Source organism: Homo sapiens, chromosome 2 (assembly GCF_000001405.40).
Source record: "Homo sapiens chromosome 2, GRCh38.p14 Primary Assembly".
NCBI lineage: Eukaryota > Metazoa > Chordata > Mammalia > Primates > Hominidae > Homo > Homo sapiens.
The window spans coordinates 151,289,680-151,310,531 of NC_000002.12; the positions used below are offsets into that span (position 1 = coordinate 151,289,680).

Below are 20,852 nucleotides of genomic sequence, written 5' to 3' on the forward strand. Positions count from 1 at the left end.
GGGAGGCACTGGGAGGGGAAGGCCCGGGTTCTCGAAACTGTCGCTGCCTCCTGCAGAAGCGCCGCGGGAGAGCTGCGGGGTCTTCCTGAGGAGGTGGCCCTCGCAGGAACAGCTGGGTTCCCCGCGAAAAGAAAAAGACAGTGAAAAAGAAAACTGCTTTAACGGCGATTTTTCTTTAGCATTTAACCAATGCTCAAATACTAAACATGGTTGTCTCCAATGATTAGTCACTAACAGAAAAAAAAACTAATTTCACTTTCGATTTTTAAAAAGGGGTGGTTTTGCGGAGGAAAGCAGAAGTATACCTGAAGTTTCCGTACACACTAATTTTAGGGAACGCTTTCTAAAACCAGTTTTTTGCATGTATTTTATAAGGTATGTTGGAAAAGTGGATAGAAACCAAATAAAGTCAAAGCAGGAATCGCTCTTCATCAGATTGTAACTCTTTTGTAATTTCTTAGTCATTGTAACACTAGTTGACAAATGTTTACAGTCAGCACAAGATCGGCGTTTCTGTGTCTTTTGTAACATCCCCCGGGGCCATGAAGTTGGGAAAGCTGTGGTGTTCCTGTTGGTTTCTGTGACCCATGTCCCTTGAAAGTTTTCTTATAATCTCTTGTTTTGTTGTGGAGCTTGTAAATAAATACTTCACTAGGTGTGAACTTTTCCTTTGAAAATTCAAACATCTGGTTTATTTCAAGAACTGCAGTGTCTCTTAATCCCACACAAAGAACCACCCCACAGCTGCCCCGGCTCATAAATACAGATGTGGGAAGAAAATGAGTCAAAATTATTTCAAGGCATAAATTATAGGTTATCATGCTACCTAGTCACATATAATAACTGATACAGTGGTCTAAAATAGTTTAACAAAAGTAAAATTTCTTTGTATCAAAAAGGTTGATGGGAACCAGTTTAAAGTGGTGACATTTCTCTTTTTTTTTTTTTTTTTTGAGATGAGTCTTGCTCTGTTGCCCAGTCTCCAACTCCTGAGCTCAAGCAGTCCTTCCACCTCCACTCCCAAGTAGCTGGGATTACAGGAATTCACGACCGCACCCAGATTTTTTGTACTTTTAATTTGGGTGCTGGGGGCAGGTATCTAACTGTTTCCCAGGCTGATCTTGAGCTCTGGCCCAAGTGATCCCACCACCTCAGCCTCCTGTAAAATGGCATTTCTAAGTAAAAAAAACGACTTCTTTGTGCTTATCAGACCAGTTAGAAAATACAAAAACTCCTTCTGCTGCAACTTGAGAAAGAATTACTTTAGTTTTACCTTGAAATTTTAGAGGGAATATGAACTCTCGAGGTTATTTAGTTGAACCTCATTTCTTCTTATTTTTATTTTTTACAAGAAGATACTAAAGGACAGGACCATGGCCAGAACAGGACTAACTTAATATATTGACTCAGATTCTGTTTAAAAGGCAAATGATACAGGTGGAGGGGAAGTCTTTTTGGACACCTACATTCTAAAGCTGAGACATGTACTAACAGTCTGAATTTAACTCAGCTTCAAATCTGGTATTCTGCAAAGTGTTAGAGATCTGAAGATGAAGAGTTGGCTCCTGGACATACTATTAATAATTGTAATTGCTAACATCTACTAAGAACTCCTGGACATTTTATAAACCTTTTTGTTTTGCCAACAACAATATTAGATATAGGTATTATTCCCATTTCTTTTCACCTGTCTGAAGCAGGCAGGAAGGTATTATCCCCATTTTGCAGTTGAGGAAACTAAGGCATAAAGAGGTGACCCAAAATCAAGCAGTTAATATATGGTGACAATGATATCATACTCTACTCTCAACAATATCTCCAAACTGTGTCCTAGGGTACATGGAGAACATGGAATTTTATGGCCCAATACAATTAGGAAATGCTGCATTCTGAATCCACTTTTGGAAATTCACAATGCACATTGGCACATTAAGAGTTCCAAGAAGTATTGCAGGGAAAAATTAAAAATTTGTGCATATTAAAAATTTTAACTTTATTCAACCTTGAACTTATCAAATCAATTTGAGCGATATATTCTTTTTTTCAAGGAACAGTTATTAAAATCTTGGGGAGTTTCTGATGGGACCTTTCGAGGAATGCTCTAGTAAATTACGCCCTCTCCTAATATAAAAGTTATTTATTGATGTTATCATGCACTCAATAAATATGTTGCACATGAGCTGCAGCACTCTGTGCCTTGGATATCTCATGTAAATCTACACAGATGTGAGGTGAATATTATGTTACACATTTGTCTCCCTGACTACATGGCAATGAACTCCTCCCAGGCTTTCTATAAAGACACACACACACACACACACCAGTATTACATACAGTCTAATGTGTGTTGGAAGGGGTAGGATACCAGAAGTAGTAAAAAACAAAGGAGAGCGTAGTCCCCTCTACCTGAGGAGGTCAGGGAAGTTTCCTTCACAGAAGAGGTGAAAATTGAGTTGATTCATTAAGGTAGAGAAAGTAGACTGAGAAGAAAGATCGGGTGAAAAATCTCAGAGGGATGTGCAATGGACTAAATGTTTGTGTTCCTCCAAAATTCGTATGTTGAAATCCTAACCCCCAAGGTGACAGTATTAGGGCTGGGGCCTTTGGGAGATGATTAGGTCATAAAGGGTGGAGCCTAAATGAATGAGATTAATGCCCTTATCAAAGAGGTCCAAAGGAGTTTGTTGACCTCTTCTGCCATGTGAGGACACAGACAGAAGGTAATCTATGAATCAATAAGCTGGCTCTCACCAGACACTAGATCTGCAGGACCCTGGATCTTAGACTTGCAGCTTCCAGAACTGTGAAAAATAAATTCTGTTGTTTATAAACTACCAGTTTATGATGTTTTATTATAACAGTCCAAAAGGACTAATATAGCATAAAACAAATGGGAGGCACCAAGAGTTTAGTGATTATGCAAACTATGAGAAAGCTACCTGATATCTATTACATGATGATTCTCTTTTAAGAAAAGGCTACTACACCAAGCTTATGCTGCTGTTGCTAAGATTGTGTTGATCTGGTTTGCAGTTCATCCTTGGGGAAACTGGAACACTTATGCCCAGTATTGTGCAAGATCCTGGGGGGATACAAATGAATTCTGTAACTTCCTTCTAGTTTTCAAGAGTGTTCCCATTGGACTACATAAGTGGTAAAGGAAAATACTTACTCTTTTATCAGGCAAGCAGTACTGTATAGTTAAAAGCATGATTTTGGCCAGACATGGTGGCTCATGACTATAAACCCAGCATTTGTGGAAACTGAGGCAGAAGAATCACTTGAGTCCAGGAGTTCAAGGCTGCAGTGAGCTGTGACTGCACCACTGTACTTCAACCTGGGCAATAGCACGAGACCCTGTCAAAAAGTAAATAAATAAATAAAGCATGGTTTTGGTGTCAGAAATGGGTTTGAATTTCAATTTTTAGTTACTGAAGTTTCTCAGCTTCAATTTTCTCATCTATAAAATAAAGGTGTGGTGCATGAGATAGAGATGCATTTCAAGGACTAAACACAGTGCTCTGCCCATGGAAAGCACTCACTAAATTGTACTTGTTTCATCTTATACTACGGTGAGATTTTTTTTCAATTTTTCTCTTACATTTTCTTTATCTTTGTTCTTCCTCCCTAGAAAAGTACTTTTAAGAAATAAGGTCATTTAAAAATTTATTTTATGTTACCTGCAGTAACTGTACCTAGTGCACACTGTATAAATAGTTATTTCTAACTAGTCATTAAATACTAGAGTAGGAGTAAAATACTCTGGACCCAATGTTATAACAACCCCTTTGTATAGCTTTTCATACTCATGTGTGTGAATAAGTTTTTATAAGTGAATAAAATATTATGAGGTAGATCAAATACTTAGAAATAGAAATAAATTCAAGCAAAATAATAATAATAAAATTAAAGAATAAAGGACTTTATCTTGTCAAATCTGCCTGGACCACTGATTTATCATATAAACATAAACAATCACTTAGAAAATTTTGTTGTGTTAAATAAAGTACATAGAGAATAAAGTTGGTATCCTTGACAATGCTATAAAGAAGAACAATTAGTGTTTTGCTTATAAACTAAAGGCTCAAAAATAAACATTTATCTGTAGTATTCAAGGCTGTAAGATAGCAGTAAATCTCAATATTATATTAAGGAAATTTCTTAAAGAAAGTCTGAGAATACTGCTGATGTTTTCCTGCTTTGCTTTTCTCAATTATAAACCAAAAATGGCTTCTGACAGAACTCTCATAGGATGAACTGATGGTCGGATAAACCCAACTGTTTGCTTTGAACCTAAAATCACAAAGGAGAAAAAGCCCAGTGAATCTTGAGGTTTTCAGAGACCCAAAGAGAACATAGCCTTGGAATGCTGGAAAAATAAAAATATTAACTTTTATCGCCAAAAATCTCAAATGAGAAAGAATTGAGCAAAGCATCCAAATATGTCAATTCAGCTTCTCAGGGAGCTCAGTTTTTAAGAAAACATGCATAAACATAGTGAAAACAGCTAAGGAAATACTAAAAGACATGTATTTTGCTTGACTATATTTTTGTTTATTTTTGTTTTTGTTTTGTTTGTTTGTTTTTGAGATGGAGTCTGGCTCTGTCGCCAAGGCTAGAGTGCAGTGGCACGATCTCGGCTCACTGCAAGCTCCACCTCCCGGGTTCACGCCATTTTCCAGCCTTAGCCTCCTTAGTAGCTGGAACTACAGGCGCCCGCCACCACACCCGGCTAATTGTTTTTTGTTTGTTTGTTTGTTTGTTTTATTTGTTTGTTTTTTAGTAGAGACAGGGTTTCACCGTGTTAGCCAGGATGGTCTCGGTCTCCTGACCTCGTGATCCACCTGCCTCAGCTTCCCAAAGTGCTGGGATTACAGGCGTGAGCCACCGCACCCAGCCTTGACTATGTTTTTTAATTTGGGAATTTGTAGTCTGTTTTGCCTGATGGGGCTGCCAGAGGCATTCTAGAAATTGTCAAGCAGCAAGATTTGGATTGGTGTTTGAATATGTTGTTTCTGATTATTTTCCTGTCTGAAATAGTACTTTACAAGAGGTATCAAATGATTGCAACAAAGAAACTCACTAGTCACTAACCTATCCAGAATTTTAAAAAACGTAAGAGGTGGCCGGGCGCGGTGGCTCACACCTGTAATCCCAGCACTTTGGGAGGCCGAGGTGGGCGGATCACGAGGTCAGGAGATCGAGACCATCCTGGCTAACACAGTGAAACCCCGTCTCTACTAAAAATGCAAAAAAATTAGCAGGGCGTGGTGGCGGGCACCTGTAGTCCCAGCTACTCGGGAGGCTGAGGCAGGAGAATCGCTTGAACCTGGGAGGCAGAGCTTGCAGTGAGCCGAGATCGCGCCACTGCACTCCAGCCTGGGTGACAGAGCGAGACTCCGTCTCAAAAAAAAAAAAAAAAAAAAAAAGTAAGAGGCAAAGGAGCTCAACTTTTTGTACTACGTTAAATTTGTCTTCTGGTTGGTCTTAGTGAGCCTAAGTATAGGAATGTAATTCCCTCCCGCCGCCCCCCCCCCCCACACACACATATATATATTTTGAGAAAGGGTCTCACTCACCTATGCTGGAGTGTTGTGGCGTGATCTTGGCTCACTACAACCTCTGCCTTGGGGCTCAAGAGATCCTCCCACCTCAGCCTCCCCAGTAGCTGAAACCAGAGGTGCACGCCACCACGCCCAGCCGGCTAATTTTTTATGTGTATATTTTTTATAGAGATTGGGGTTTCGCCACATTTCCCAGGCTGGTCTCGAACTCTTGGACTCAAGCAATCCACCAGCCTCAGCCTCCCAAAGTGCTGGGATTACAGGCATGAGCCACCACCTAATTAATCTATCAAAATAGATTAATATGTATCTACGAAGATATATATTCGCCCAGCCTAATATATATCTTGATATAATAAATTATTTCTGTGGATCTCCCTTGAAATGTGTGGCATAGTTACAAGATAGGGAAAAATATGTTTTTGGGCAAGAAGACTTTCTGTACACCAGTGTTTGACAAACTTCCATGTCCATATAAATCAGCTGAAGATCATGTTAAAATATACATTCTGATTCTGTAGGATTAGGGTGGATATTTTGCATTCCAAAAGCTCCTAGATGATGCTGATGGTGCTGTTTCTTGTAAGAGGTGACAGCGTGCTGGCAGTCCTCGCAGCCCTCCCTCGCTCTCGGCGCCTCCTCTGCCTGGGCTCCCACTTTGGCGGCACTTGAGGAGCCCTTTGGCCCCGCCACTGCACTATGGAAGCCCCTTTCTGGGCTGGCCAAGGCCGGAGCCGGCTCCCTCAGCTTGCGAGGAGATGTGGAGGGAGAGGCGCGGGGGGAATCGGGGCTGCGCGCGGTGCTTGCAGGACAGCGCGAGTTACGGGTGGGCGTGGGCTTGGCGGGCCCCGCACTGAGAGCGGCGGGCGGCCCCGGGCAGTGAGGGGCTTAGCACCTGGGCCAGCAGCTGCTGTGCTCAATTTCTCGCCGGGCCTTAGCTGCCTTCCCACGGGGCACGGCCCGGGACCTGCAGCCCGCCATGCCTGAGCCTCCCCCGCGCCTCCGTGGGTTCCTGTGGGGCCCGAGCCTCCCCGACGAGCGCCGCCCCCTGCTCCACGCACCCAGTCCCATGGACCACCCAAGGGCTGAGGAGTGCGGGCGCACGGCACCGGACTGGCAGGCAGCTCCACCTGCGGCCCCCGTGCAGGATCCAGCTGGGCTCCTGAGTCTGGTGGGGACTTGGAAAACCTTTATATCTAGCTAAGGGGTTGTAAATACACCAATCAGCACTCTGTATCTAGCTCAAGGTTTGTAAACACACCAATCCGCACCCTGTGTCTAGCTCAGGGTTTGTGAATGCACCAATGGACACTCTGTATCTAGCTACTCTGGTGGGGACTTGGAGAACCTTTATGTCTAGCTAAGAGATTGTAAATACACCAATCGGCACTCTGTATCTAGCTCAAGGTTTGTAAACACACCAATCAGCACCCTGTGTCTAGCTCAGGGTTTGTGAATGCACCAGTCAACACTCTGTAGCTACTCTGGTGGGGACTTGGAGAAACTTTGTGTGGACACTCTGTATCTAGCTAATCTAGTGGCGACATGGAGAATTTTTGTGTCTAGCTCAGGGATTGTAAACGCACCAGTAAGCACCCTGTTGGACCAATCAGCTCTCTGTAAAATGGACCAATCGGCTCTCTGTAAAATGGACCAATCAGCAGGGTGTGTGGGTGGGGCCAGATAAGAGAATAAAAGCAGGTTGTCGGAGCAAGGAGTGGCAACCTGCTTGGGTTCCCTTCCGTAGCGTGGAAGCTTTGTTCTTTCGCTCTTTGTAATAAATCTTGCTGTTGCGCACTTTTTGGGTCCACACTGCCTTTATGAGATGTAACACTCACTAAGAAGGTCTGCAGCTTCACTCCTGAAGCCAGTGAGACCACGAACCCACCGGGAGGAACGAACAACTCCAGATGCGCCGCCTTAAGAGCTGTAACGCTCACCGCAAAGGTCTGCAGCTTCACTCCTGAGCCAGTGAGACCACGAACCCACCAGAAGGAAGAAACTCCAAACACATCCGAACATCAGAAGGAACAAACTCAGGACATGCCGCCTTTAAGAGCTGTAACACTCACTGCGAGGGTCCGCAGCTTCGTTCTTGAAGTCAGTGAGACCAAGAACCCACCAATTCCGGACACGCTTGGGCTACACTTTGAGTGACAAGGCTGTACACTAACTGGTTCACTAAAATCATGACCAGAGATTGTCATTCTGGTCGACGGGTTTTATGTGCCACCTGGCTATTACGAAGCGCAGAACCCTCTTACTGTTTCCAGCCTGGAGGCCGAGTCCATAGACGGAAAGTGAGGTATTTCTAGGTGTCCCTGTGTTTCATGAAGGGGCGGTATATGCAAAGCAGCCCCCAAATGCCAAAGGAGTTGAGCTACCAAAGAACAAGGCAGACAAATCCAGTTCGTCAGTAAGGAGTGTTTTAATGGAAAGTTAAGATGGAAATGTGGCGGCAAGGCAGATCTCTGCACTGTTGCTTCCCAGACCCAGGGCTTATATACCACAGGGAAAGGGTATACGTGCTCCAGCAAGACAATTAAAAGCAACCCTCCAAAACAGGCAAGAATGCCATATGCATTATAGCCTATAGTTTGTCTGATAATATCAGGTTTGACATGTTCTTACACTAAGGACAGTAAATAAATGAGGAATTAGGAGGCATTCATGGGACTGGGGCTAATCAGGACTCAATATGGCAGATCAGCATCCAAAATGGAGTCCTTTTGTCTCCACACCCTGGTGTGCTTTTCCTGAGGAAAGAGCAAGAGCTGTTCCTATCTTTCGTGCCATCTCCTTCAGAGAGCATTGGCTTCTTGCTTGTAGCTAGGCTGCCATTATAGCTACTCTGAGGGAAAGGAAGGAATAAACAGTGAGGGGAAATGAGTCAAAATGACACTAAAGAGTGGAAAGAGGAAGTAAGAGAAGCCAAGAAAAAAGAACAGGGCAAGTGTATATGGGAACTTGAAAGAGGTATTCTCTTCTCTTTCATTAATTATTCATTTCAATTTATTCTAAATAGTTTGCCCTAGTGTACAATGTAACAAGATAGAATGATCTCACACACAGGACTCATTTTAATAACATAATATCTGCATGGGGATGTTTGATAATGTTTAATATACAAAGGCAGAGTTAATTCATCCTTCTCAGGGCTTAAACCCGTCCAGGGAAATTGTAAATAAAAACAAGCTTCATCTCCGATAAAAATAAAACAGTGTCCTTCAGATCTTACTGCTTCGCGACTTTATGAATTGGAATGGAAACGTTGTTGCCTTTTGGGAGATTGACCTCAGCTGTTTTTCAACTTTTTGAAGAATAAGAACTCTAATTTTGGTGCCAATACTCAAATAGAAGTTTTCTCAGGTGGACAAACAACACCTGGTAGGCTGGTTTGTCATGGAAATTGCACCACCTTAAAATCACCAGGAGAACCAAGCTGAGTCTTTGCTTTGACCCTGACTAGCTCTGTGAACTTGGGCATATGTAAAGGATCTGGTATATAATAGGTGCTCAAAAAAATGTTACTACTGATCGCATTTCCCTTTAGCTTTCCGAGGGTCCATTTCTCAGTTTCTCAAATGTAAAAATGATGACAATAATGTTACCTACCAATTATAGGGTGTTTGGTGAGGATTAATTTAGCTAATGTACATAAAAATACTTTTTGAACAGTAAATGCAAAATTAAATAATATTATTAATATTAATATTGTCCTCTGATTTTAAGCTATAATTAGAAGAGTTGAAAGGGATGACTGTTGCATAGAGAAAATAATTTGATAGGTTAAAATATAAAATGCAAGACCTGAATACAGTCACCAAGACAACTGCATAAAATGACACTGGATGGGCACCACACAATGCCTCCTCATGTCCCCTCGAATTGTGCAGTGTGTGCCAGGAACGGATTCTGGGCTGCCAAGACTTAGTTGTTTGCTGATCTAGATTTAGATAGAACACATAAAAACAAGTCAGTCAGATAGTAAGTCTAAGATCTTTCTCTCTCACTCATTCTGTTTCTCTTATTTTTGCCATATTCTTTTTTTTTTTTTTTTTTTTTTTTTTGAGACGGAGTCTCGCTCTGTCACCCAGGCTGGAGTGCAGTGGCGCGATCTTGGCTCACTGCAAGCTCCGCCTCCCGGGTTCACGCCATTCTCCTGCCTCAGCCTCCCGAGTAGGTGGGGCTACAGGCGCCCACTACCACACTCGGCTAATTTTTTTGTATTTTTAGTAGAGACGGGGTTTCACTGTGTTAGCCAGGGTGGTCTCGATCTCTTGACCTCGTGATCCGCCCGTCTCCGCCTCCCAAAGTGCTGGGATTACAGGCGTGAGCCACCGTGCCTGGCCATTTTTGCCATATTCTTTAATGAACTGTACACGTAAGAAAGATGGGTAATATTGAGTGGGTTTTTTGTGATGTAGTCTCTGAAGATATACCAAGCAGCAATTGTTTTCTCTGCTGCTCATACAGCCCCTTTTATGTGGCCACAAACCTAATCTGGCCTCCTGCAAAGGGCAATGTGATCAGATGGCACAGATTTCTTAAAACTTGATTTCAAAAATTCTGCCCAGTTTCATTTCTCATGCCACAGCCAGTGTCTCTTTTTCCCCATACTCTCTTGCATGAAAATTCATAGTTGAATTTCCCGCAGGACTTTTCATGGGGCTAATCTACATCTGGAATTTACCCTGCTAATGATTCTCTTTCCTTTCATCCTGTATACTCGTGCCAGATTATTCTTCTAAAAGGGTCAGTATCATCATGTCATTCGACATGTTAAGCGCTTGCAGATGACATCCCATATATACAATCCAAATTCCAGAGTGTAAGATGTACACTCCCTCCCGTCACTCCCAATACCAAACTTTCCACCACAGGCTGGCTACAGTTTATCGGTAACTTCATCAGCCATTACTCCCTTCCACATCCCACTGAATTAGTCAGCTATCCAACTCCAGAACATACTAGGCCTCCTCTCTCTTACTATTTTCCTCCCCTAAGTTGTTTCCTCTTTTCTTTCTATTATTTCAGTCATACAGTCAGACAAGTGAACTTTCAACAAACCCACACACACACTATACATGCAGTGGTGATAGTGAAAACACAACTGCTCAGCATGGACATTGAACCATGAGAATGGCTCTCACCAGAGTGCTGGAGCAGTGTCCCAGAGAATTCTTTCTAGGCTGGCCATTAATCCCTCAGTTGCTAGATCTTAGGAAGTTCAGGGGAAGAGAAGTTGGGAATTCCTGGTGGAGGAACAGGTATGGCCAGCTTGGTGAAGGCGCTAGGATGGAGATGGGGGAAGACTGCTACTACTTACTAAATGACACAAAAATATTTCATTATTTAACAACTGGTCTAAACCTCTAGAGCATGCTGACTGAACACCAGTGTCAGGCTTTGCTGATGCATCTTCAGCCTCAATTTAAGCTCCTTTTCCAGCAACCCAAGGGCCACTAGTGATCCCTCCATTCTCTAAATTATTTTAGCACATTTTGTCCATACCACTTACTGGGCACATTTACAGCCTTGCATTGCTGTCTTTGGGGAACGATTATACAATTCATTCTCCCAAAGATGGTAATCTTTTCCAAAATAAGAGTTGTGCTGTATCTGTGTTTCTCCCAAAAATGTCTAACATAGTGCCTGTGGTTATTAATTTTATGGGTCAGTTTGACTGGGCTGTGGGATGCTCAGAGAGCTGGGAAAACATTATTTCTGGGCATGTCTGTGAAGGTGTTTCCAGAAGAGAGTAGCTTTTGAATTGGTGGAGTGAGTAAAGGAGATCTGCTCTTTCCAATGTGGGCAGGCATCATCCAATCTATTGAAGGCCTAAATAGAACAAAAAGGCAAAGGAAAGGTGAATTTATTCTGTCTGCTTGAGCTGAGACATCCATCTACTTCTGTCCTTGGACACCAGAGCTCCTGGTTCTCAGGGCTTTGGGCTTGGACTGTAACTACTCTACTGGTTTTCCTGGGGCTCCAGCTTGCAGATGGCAGATTGTGGGGCTTCTCAACCTTCACAATCACATGAGGCAATCTCTTACAATCAATCTCTTTCCATATATCTATAAATATCCTATTGGTTCTGTTTCTCTTGAGAACCCTCACTAATACGGTGCCCTTCTCAGGCAATCTTTTATCCTATGTGTATTAATAAAGGTTAATTGACTAAATGATTGGGAACTATTATACATATATCACACTGCAATCCCCCAAATCACTTCGAGAGTGAGGGAGGGACAGATATATTTGAGACTCTGATGAGAGCTAGGAATTCTTCTCCCAGAAGCATTCCTACATACACAAAACCTGCATGAAATTTCAGATGTTTCACTTACCACCTAAGCCATTCATAGACTCCTGGGAGTCCACGGAACCTAGGTTAAGGGCTCTAGTTTAAATGAAATTTTACAGAGCTAAAATATTAACCTAAAGAATTATCTTTAGAAATAAGCCGGGCACAGAAAGACAAATATTGCAGGTTCTCACTCATACATGGAGCTAAAAGCGTTGATCTCACAGGGGTAGAGAGTGGAATGGTAGTTACCACAGGCTGAGAAGAGTGTGGCAGGGATGGAAAGAGGTTAGTTAATGGGTACAAATATACAGTTAGATAGAAAAAATAAGTTCTAATGTTCTATAGCAGAATAGGTGACTACAGTTAACATTGTATTGTATATTTCAAATTAGCTAGAAGAGAGGACTTGAAATGTTCCCAGTACAAAGAAATACAAATAAATAAATACTGGAAAGAAATGTTCTCAGTACAAAAATATAAATACCCTAAATACCCTGACTTGATTATTATACATTCTATGCCTGTAACAAAATATATGAACCCTATAAAAAGGTACAAATATTATATATCAATTAGAAATTTTTAAATTAACTTTAATGTTATTCTAGTAGTCCAGTAAGGAAGCAACTTTAGGGAAGCCCATACTTTATTAGCCCTAGATCATTGCATCTATGTGGCCATCTCCTAGCCTTTAGGTGGGAGGCAGAAAGCAGCAGGGCGTGCATGCTAGCTGTGATGGTCCCATCTCCTGGAATATTGTGCTGCTGACTGAGGATTTCAGATAAAGCCTGCTCATTACCAGTTGTACCCACAGATGTCAAATAACAAGTGCCAGTAACAATCTGGCATGGGACTGTCTTCAACTGGTTGAATTAATTAATAACTACTACATACCAAAATATGAAGAGTGTGATTCATGTCCAACTGGGAGGAAAAAAGGACACACGAAAAGGCAAGAACAACTTTGTCACAGACGGGACATTTTTCATCAGGGAAAGGAACTTTTTTACATAAACTAAAGTGTAGACATGAGGTATAAAATAGTGAGATCATCGCCACCAAAACTCCGTGTGGAACTGACTCCCACTGAGTTACACACCCCAGGCAAAGAGATGGGACTTTCATCAACTCCCAGGACTAGTTAATAAGCCTCCTTGCAATAAACTTCTTTTTGGAAAAAAAAGATAACTCATTTACAAGGGAACCCCCCTGCTGTGGTACAGACATAAACGTCTAGAAAAATTACACTTTCTTATATTTCATTCAGATTAGCTTCACTTTTTGGGAAAAAAAGTAGAAAATCTTTTATATGCTATTAATCTTTAGATCTGTTTCTGCTGTCTGAAACTTTTTCTTGGGGCACACTGCTATGACAAAAAAATTAGATATGGTTACTGAAGAAAACCCTAGGAAAAAAATAAGAAAAATATTGTTCAGTGAGGGCTAATTAAGATTACAGCCAACCTATGCTTTTATGAGCATAAACCAAAGTAACATTACTGGGAGATACACAGAAAGAATCACGTTTTCCTGAGAAATCTCTTAAGAAATTACATCAGTTCTCTGGACACATGGAGGAGAGGGGGTGTGCCATTGTGGAGGCTGTGACTCAGCGGCAACCTGATTTTTCATCTGCTTTGACAACAGTGATAACATAAAATGTGTCTGGAAAGGGAAAATTCATTCTCTCTACATCATTCTGCATAGCACCATGCTCTGCACCACATGTGGTGAGGTCCTTACCAGAAATACTGAAAATACAGGGGGGCTTGCAAGGTGTAGGAGAAACGTCTTCCCTGGTCTTCTTTTGCAGCTAATTTACAACATGGCCTCAAAACCAAGCCACCGGAAGGAGGTAGTTGGGGTAAGGAGGGTGAGTTGTGAAGGGAAGATGGGAGGCAGAGTCTCTTGTCCATCTTCTGCTGTTTCTTTTTTTTTTTTTTGAGATGGAGTCTCACTCTGTCACCCAGGCTGGAGTACAGCGGCACAATCTCGGCTCACTGCAACCTCTGCCTCCCAGGTTCAAGCGATTCTCCTGCCTCAGCCTCCTGAGTAGCTGGAACTATAGGCACGCGCCACCACGCCCAGGTAGTTTTTGTATTTTTAGTAGAGATGGGGGTTTCACCATGTTGGCCAGGATGGTCTTGATCTCTTGACCTCATGATCTGCCCACCTTGGCTTCCCAAAGTGCTGAGATTACAGGCGTGAGCCACCGCGTCCAGTATCTTCTGCTGTTTCTTGACTTGTGGAAATGCCTGCATGTGTGTGAAAAGCACAACTTCTCTGTAAGAGTCTATCTTGGTTATTAAGCCCAGAGTCTAAGTAGTGTCAAGCCCATTGATTTACAAATTATATCACTCTGTCCACCCAAAGGCCACCTGGCCATTGTGATATAGAGTAGCTACCAAAGCAACTAAGGTGGTGTTTTCCAAAAAGAGTGACCTGTGAATACTTGTTGAATAAGGTAATATTAACCTACTTGTGGCCTTGATCTTACCCTTCTTCCTATTTAACCACAGCCCTGGCCCTAAGATACCCTGATCCCTGAAAGAACAGCAGCTATGTCTGAGAATAAAAAGCATCTCAAAGAATTCTAGGCTGTCAAACAAAATCAGGAAATGTTGGGAAACTTTTAAGTGATACAGTGGTGACTTTTGCAGGCCCAAAAGAAGTCTGTGGCCTTAATGGATCTATGGGCTACAGGATTCTTATCAAAATAATTTTAGTTAGATGAGTCAATAAATAAAATGTGCCATATAGATGCAATGGAGTATTATTTGGCCTTAAAAAGGAAGGAAAGTCTGGTATAGAATAGATTATGTATGAACCTTGAGGACATTATGCTAAGTGAAATAAGTCATCTACAAAAGGACAAGTATTGTGTGGTTCCATTTATATAAGGAACCTAGAATAATCCAATTTACAGAGGAAATAGAATGGTGGTTGCCAGGGGATGAGGGAAGGAGTGAATGGGGAGTTATTGTTTAATGAGCATAGAGTTTCAGTTTGTTTGTTTTTTGTTTGTTTTTGTTTTTATTTTTGTTTTTTGAGACAAAGTCTTGCTCTTGTCCCCCAGGCTGGAGTGCAACGGCGCCATCTCGGCTCACTGCAACCTCCACCTCCTGGGTTCAAGCGATTCTCCTGTCTCAGCCTCCCAAGTAGCTGGGATTACAGGCGCCTGCCACCAGACCCAGCTAATTTTTTTTGTATGTTCAGTAGAGACGGGGTTTCACCATGTTGGCCAGGCTGGTCTCGAACTCCTGACCTCAGGTGATCTGCCCACCTCAGCCTCCCAAAGTGCTGGGATTACAGGCGTGAGCCACAGCATTCGGCCAAGTTTCAGTTTTGCAAAATGAAAAGAGTTCTGGAGATGGATGGTAGTGATGGTTGTTCAACAATGTGAATGTACTTAATACCACTGAAATGTACACTTAAAAATGGTTGATGATAAATTTTGTTATGTGTATTTTACCATAATTAAAAAATAAAAAGTAAAAATTGTAGTGAGTCCTATTTGCATGCAAGTCTTTGTATACTATTGTAAGACGATGTAGGTAAAACTAGTCCCTGTCTTTATGGAGATTTACTGTTTTCAGATTTATAGGAAAAGAGAGGACAGATTTGTGTATCTGGCATAGAACTTTCCTTCATTATATGGGAAGTGAGCTCAAGTTACTTCATATGGGAATTCAAGGAAGAGGAGGCCCATAAAAGTGAGAGAATTTGATATTCATTTTCTATAAAAGTTAGAAAAGAGGAAGATGAAAAGAGAGGAGAGGAAGGGAGAAGAAGAAAGAAGAAGAAAAAAGAAGAAGAGGAAGAAGAGGAGGAAGAAGAAGAAAAAGGAGGAGGAGGAGGGGAAGGGGGAGGGGAAGGGGAAGGGGAAGGAGAAGGGGAAGCAGAAGATTCCTGATCTTGTCACTCTTCTTTGATGTGCATTTGCTCCCAACATGCATCTACATGCCCAGCTGGAGAGCCAAGATGTAAATGCAACCAGGCCATAATCCACCTTTCCAACCTAATTTCCCAGAACTCCCTTATACCAGTAATTCAGTCTTTTCAGTCCAATTAGCCTTACAAATTCCTATCTCCTGTCTCCATTCACAGAATCTCAGAGTTGGAGAAATCAGAGGTCATCTTGTCCAACCACTCACCAGATGCCTAAGTCCTTAAGTTGGGCTGACATCTTACTTAGTTGAACTTCCATTCATTTTCTCAGTTGGGCTCATAGAATAATGTTCTATGTTATAAAAGGTATAAAAAGAAATACTGTCAAAGAAAAGAGAAAAAGAAGAAGCAGCACACTCTGAACTCAAAGTTAAGTTCCCACTTATTAATTATATTACTTATATTTTAAAAGAATATTTAAATCCAATTGCAAAACATTAAGTCTACAGTGATCCCATTTTTGTCACCCCCACAAAATGTGTGTGTGTGTGTGTGTGTGTGTGTGTGTGTGTATGCGTATATATACATAGAAAAAAGTCCCTGTGTAAATCTTTAAAGTTTCTTTGAAGGCAAAGTTATGGGTACCCTTTATTTCTACACTTGTTTATTTGTATTCATAATTTTTATTCAATTAAATTTTATTTTCTTTAACAAATGAAGAAAATTTGTATATAGTATGTTTGTACATATAAGTAAATATAACTGAGGTGGCAATTAGTTATCAAGTGACACAAAAATTTGCAACAGAACAAAAAATAAAAATTATTTTGTAAATGTACATTGGAAAATTGGGTTTAGCATATTTAATCAAACATGTGGAAGGCTGGACATGGTGGCTTATGCTTGTAATCCCAGCACTTTGAGAGGCCAAGACAGGCAGATTGCTTGAATCCAGGAGTTTGAGACTAGCCAAGCTGGGTATTTTTCTGTCTCTACAAAAAAAATACAAAAATTAGCCAGACACAGTGGTGCACACTTGTGGTCCCAGCTACTTGGGAGGCCAAGGATGGAGGATCGCTTGAGCTCGGGAGGTTGCAGTGAGCTGAATCATGCCACTGCACTCTAGCCTGGGTGATAGAGTGAGACCCTGTCTCAAAAAAAAAAAAAAAAAAAAACGGAACAAAGGAATTGATTATGATCGAATGTTTCCCAAGAAAGAGAAATTAGCCTTAATGGGATCATAGCCAAACCACAAAACATAAATTTGATATTGAGGTTACAGCATACAAAGGGCTGGACTATCCTCTGGGACAATTATCATTTTTCCCTTTGCTTAAATCTTCACTCAGCTCTTGCAATGTATTATGTCATGCATTCTGCTAATCCTTGGGTGGGAATTCAAAGATGACTAAGACGGGGCCCGAGCCCTTAGGACACTCACACATTTCCTATTTGGCTAGAAAAGCAGCCAAAGCTCCAGTAGGCAGCCTGATGGTCTCCTAGAAGGCATTTTTGAAAAAGACTTCAGTTAACCATGTTCCATTGTCTCTCCACATCTCACATTCACTGACACACCTAAAAGAAAGGCCCAAGAGGTCCTTTTGTGTTGGCATCTTCAACTTCTGATATTGTTGGCACCTCAGTAGATGCTATGCGTCTCTTGCTGGTTGGTTTTGGTATCTTGCGAGGGCATATTAAATATTGTTAGCCAAAGAACTCCCCTCCTCAAGAAAATGCTTAGTATCCCCAAGGTCAGCCTCTGTCCAAAAACAAGTCTTCTTTACCTTTCCACTTGACCCAATAGCCATCGGCAAGGATGTGCAAAAGGATTCCACACTCTTTTCTCTTTTGACTAATACTTAGTGCTAAATTCCTGGTCACAAAGGTGAATAAAATCCTTAGTACTAAATTCCTGGTAACAAAAGTGAATAAAGGATTTGCATTCATCAAACTATCTTTGAAAGCTCTTACCCCCTCTTGCTACTCATCCAACTCAAGAGCAAACCTCCAAAATGTCCCTGAACCAGTACACTTCTTTCCCTTCTCCATTGTTGCCATCACCATCCAAGCCACCATCCCATCAACTCTCCCTGGACAACTGCAGTAGCCTCCTGAGATGACTCCCTGCTCCCCCTCTTAATCCACTATAAGTTCTCCTCTGATGAGACACCAGAGTGATCTTTTTAAAACATAAATTAAATCATGTTGTCACCTGCTGAAAAACCTCCTACTGCATATAAATTCAACTCCATATGCCCAACCTGGCTTACGCAGCCCCACAGTACCTGCCACTGCCTACCTTTCCCCTCACAGTAAGTTCCCCCTTTCATTAAGCTCTTTCATCACCTTGCTCTCCCTTTTGTTTTTGGAGAATTGGTCAAGTTCATTCTTGCCACAGGGCTTTTGCTCCAGCCTTCCCATCTGTCTGGCATGGCTGGCTCCTTCAGGTCATTCAGATCTAAGCTTCAATGTCACCTCCTCAGAGAGGCCTTTCCTGACCCTCTTTTCTATCATGTCAGCCTATGCTGAGTCTTTCAAAGCACTCATCATTATCTGATAATTTCCTTGTTTACTTATTGCTCCATTTTTTCTCTGTCACTGCTGCTAGAATGTAAGCTCCATGAAAGCAGTAACTTTGTGTGTCTTGCTCATTGGCTGTACTGGATTGATGCCTGGCATAAAGTAGACATGAAACAAATAATTGCCAAATAAATGTGTTAAATGAGTAAAAGAAGATGGTTGTCACTCCATAGTTAAGTGACTGAATCTTGTATTCACTACATTCATTCATTCACTAACTCATTGAGTTTTTATTATATGCTTGGTACTATTTTTAAAAATAAACAGGCCAGGTGCTGTGGCTTACATCTATAATCCCAGCACTTTGGGAGGCCAAGGTGGGTGGATCACCTGAGGTCAGGAGTTCGAGACCAGCCTGGGCAACATGGTGAAACCTTGTCTCTACTAAAAATACAAAAATTAGCTGGGTGTGGTGGCACACACCTGTAGTTCCAGCTACTCGGGAGGCTGAGGCAGGAGAATTGCTTGAACCCAGGAGGTGCAGGTTGAAGTGAGCCGAGATCACGCCACTGCACTCCAGCCTAGGTGACAAAGTGAGACTCTGTCTCAAAAACAAAAACAAACAAACAAAATAAATGCAGCTAATTGCTATCCTCATGAAACTGAGGTTTCCTATACTCAAAGGAGAGAAATATATCAAATAAAACTTTCTAACGTGATATGCTAAGTGATATGCTAGAGATGTGCAAAAGATGGTTGGAGGTGTTCTCACAGGGAATGTGAGGCTTTACCTGTATTTTTAAGAATGAATTCACCAATGCATTTTAGAGAGAAGGGACAAGAGAGACTTGAGAACATCATGGCAGATGGGAGGCAGGACAGTTTGCAGCTCCCACTTGGACAGACAGAGCAGTGTGTGGACACTCTCATCATGAACTTTTGCTCCAGAACTACTGCAGGAATAAATCAGGAAAGCCAAGAAAACCCACAGACCCTCTGAAGGAAGAGGATTGCTCCTGCAGGACCTGGGAGACACCCCAAACACAGTGATTGCCCAAGCTGTGGAACTGGGAAAGGGGGATTGTCTGCCCCAGAACACACACCCTTGTAAGGCCTCTGAGCCCAAGCTAAGCCACCATATCCCCAGTGACCTGCACATATACATCCAGATGGCCTGAAGCAACTGAAGTTCCACAGAAGTGAAAATAGCTTAACTGATGACATTCCACCATTGTGATTTGTTTCTGCCCCACGCTTTGTAATTTCTTAAGAAATTACAAAGAAATTTCTTTGTAATTCTCCCCACCTTTGAGAATGTACTTTGTGAGATCCAACCCCTGCTCCCAAAACATTGCTCTTAACTCCACCACCTATCCCAAAACCTATAAGAACTAATGATAATCCCACCACCCTTGCTGACTCTGTTTTCGGACTCAGCCCACCTGCACCCAGGTGAAATAAACAGCCTTGTTGCTCACACAAAGCCTGTTTGGTGGTCTCTTCACACAGACACATGAGACATTTGGTGCCGAAGACCCGGGTCAGCGGGACTCCTTTGGGAGACCAGTCCCCTGTCCTCACCCTTACTCTGTGAAGAGATCCACCTACGACCTCAGGTCCTCAGACCAACCAGCCCAAGGAACAGCTCACTGATTTTAAATCGGGTAAGCAGCCTCTTTTTACTCTCTTCTCCAATCTCTCTCACTATCCCTCAACCTCTTTCTCCTTTCAATCTTGGCACCACCCTTCAATCTCTCCCTTCTCTTAATTTCAATTCCTTTCATTTTCTGGTAGAGACAAAAGAGACACATTTTATCCGTAGACCCAAAACTCTGGCGCCGGTCACAGACTCGGGAAGGCAACCTTCCCTTGGTGTTTAATCATTGCGGGGATGCCTCCCTGATTATTCACCCATGTTCCATTGGTGTCTGATCTCCGCGGGGACACCTGCCTTGGTCATTCACTCACGTTCCCTTGGTGGCAAGTCAATTGCAGGGACGCCTGCTTTGGCTGCTCACCCACGTTGCAGCCCAGGGCTGCTTCCCACCCCGCTTGTCCGTGTCTCTACCTTTCTCTTTGAACTTGCCTCCTTCACTATGGGCAACCTTCCACCCTCCACTCCTCCTTCTTCTCCCTTAGCCTGTGTTCTCAAGAACTTAAAACCTCGTCAACTCTCGCCTGACCTAAAATCTAAGTGTCTTATTTTCTTCTGCAATACTGCTTAGCCCCAATACAAACTCGATAGTAGTTCCAAGTGGCCAGAGAATGGCACTTTCGATTTGTCTGTCCTACAAGATCTAGATAATTTTTGTGGTAAAATGGGCAAATGGTCTCAGGTGCCTGACGTCTAGGCATTCTTTTACACATTGGTCCCTCCCTAGTCTCTGCTCCCAATGAGACTTGTCCCAAATCTTTCTTCTTTCTCTCCTGTCTGTTCCTTCAGTCTCCACCCCAAGCTCTGAGTCCTTTGAATCCTCCTTTTCTACAGACTCATCTGACCTCCCTTTCTCCCCAGGCTGCTCCTCGCCAGGCCAAGCCAGGTCCCAATTCTTCCTCAGCCTCTGCGCACC

The 20,852-nt window shown here is 42.3% G+C and overlaps 1 long non-coding RNA gene across 1 annotated transcript, besides 2 other annotated features; it reads right to left on the reverse strand.

Annotated features, from left to right (window-relative positions):
- Window positions 18-97: an enhancer, noted in NCBI's record as "active region_16633". NCBI's record gives its function as "activates an Ori minimal core promoter by ATAC-STARR-seq in GM12878 lymphoblastoid cells {active_cell/tissue: GM12878}" and the evidence as "EXISTENCE:reporter gene assay evidence [ECO:0000049][PMID:35858748]".
- Window positions 158-577: an enhancer, noted in NCBI's record as "active region_16634". NCBI's record gives its function as "activates an Ori minimal core promoter by ATAC-STARR-seq in GM12878 lymphoblastoid cells {active_cell/tissue: GM12878}" and the evidence as "EXISTENCE:reporter gene assay evidence [ECO:0000049][PMID:35858748]".
- LOC107985827 (uncharacterized) lies at window positions 14,042-17,220 on the reverse strand. The gene is made up of 3 exons (XR_001739220.1): window positions 17,204-17,220; window positions 16,029-16,114; window positions 14,042-14,129 (listed from the first exon to the last, which is right to left on the reverse strand). It is a non-coding gene; the product is annotated as an uncharacterized LOC107985827 (long non-coding RNA).
- Between the last annotated feature and the right edge of the window lie 3,632 nt (window positions 17,221-20,852).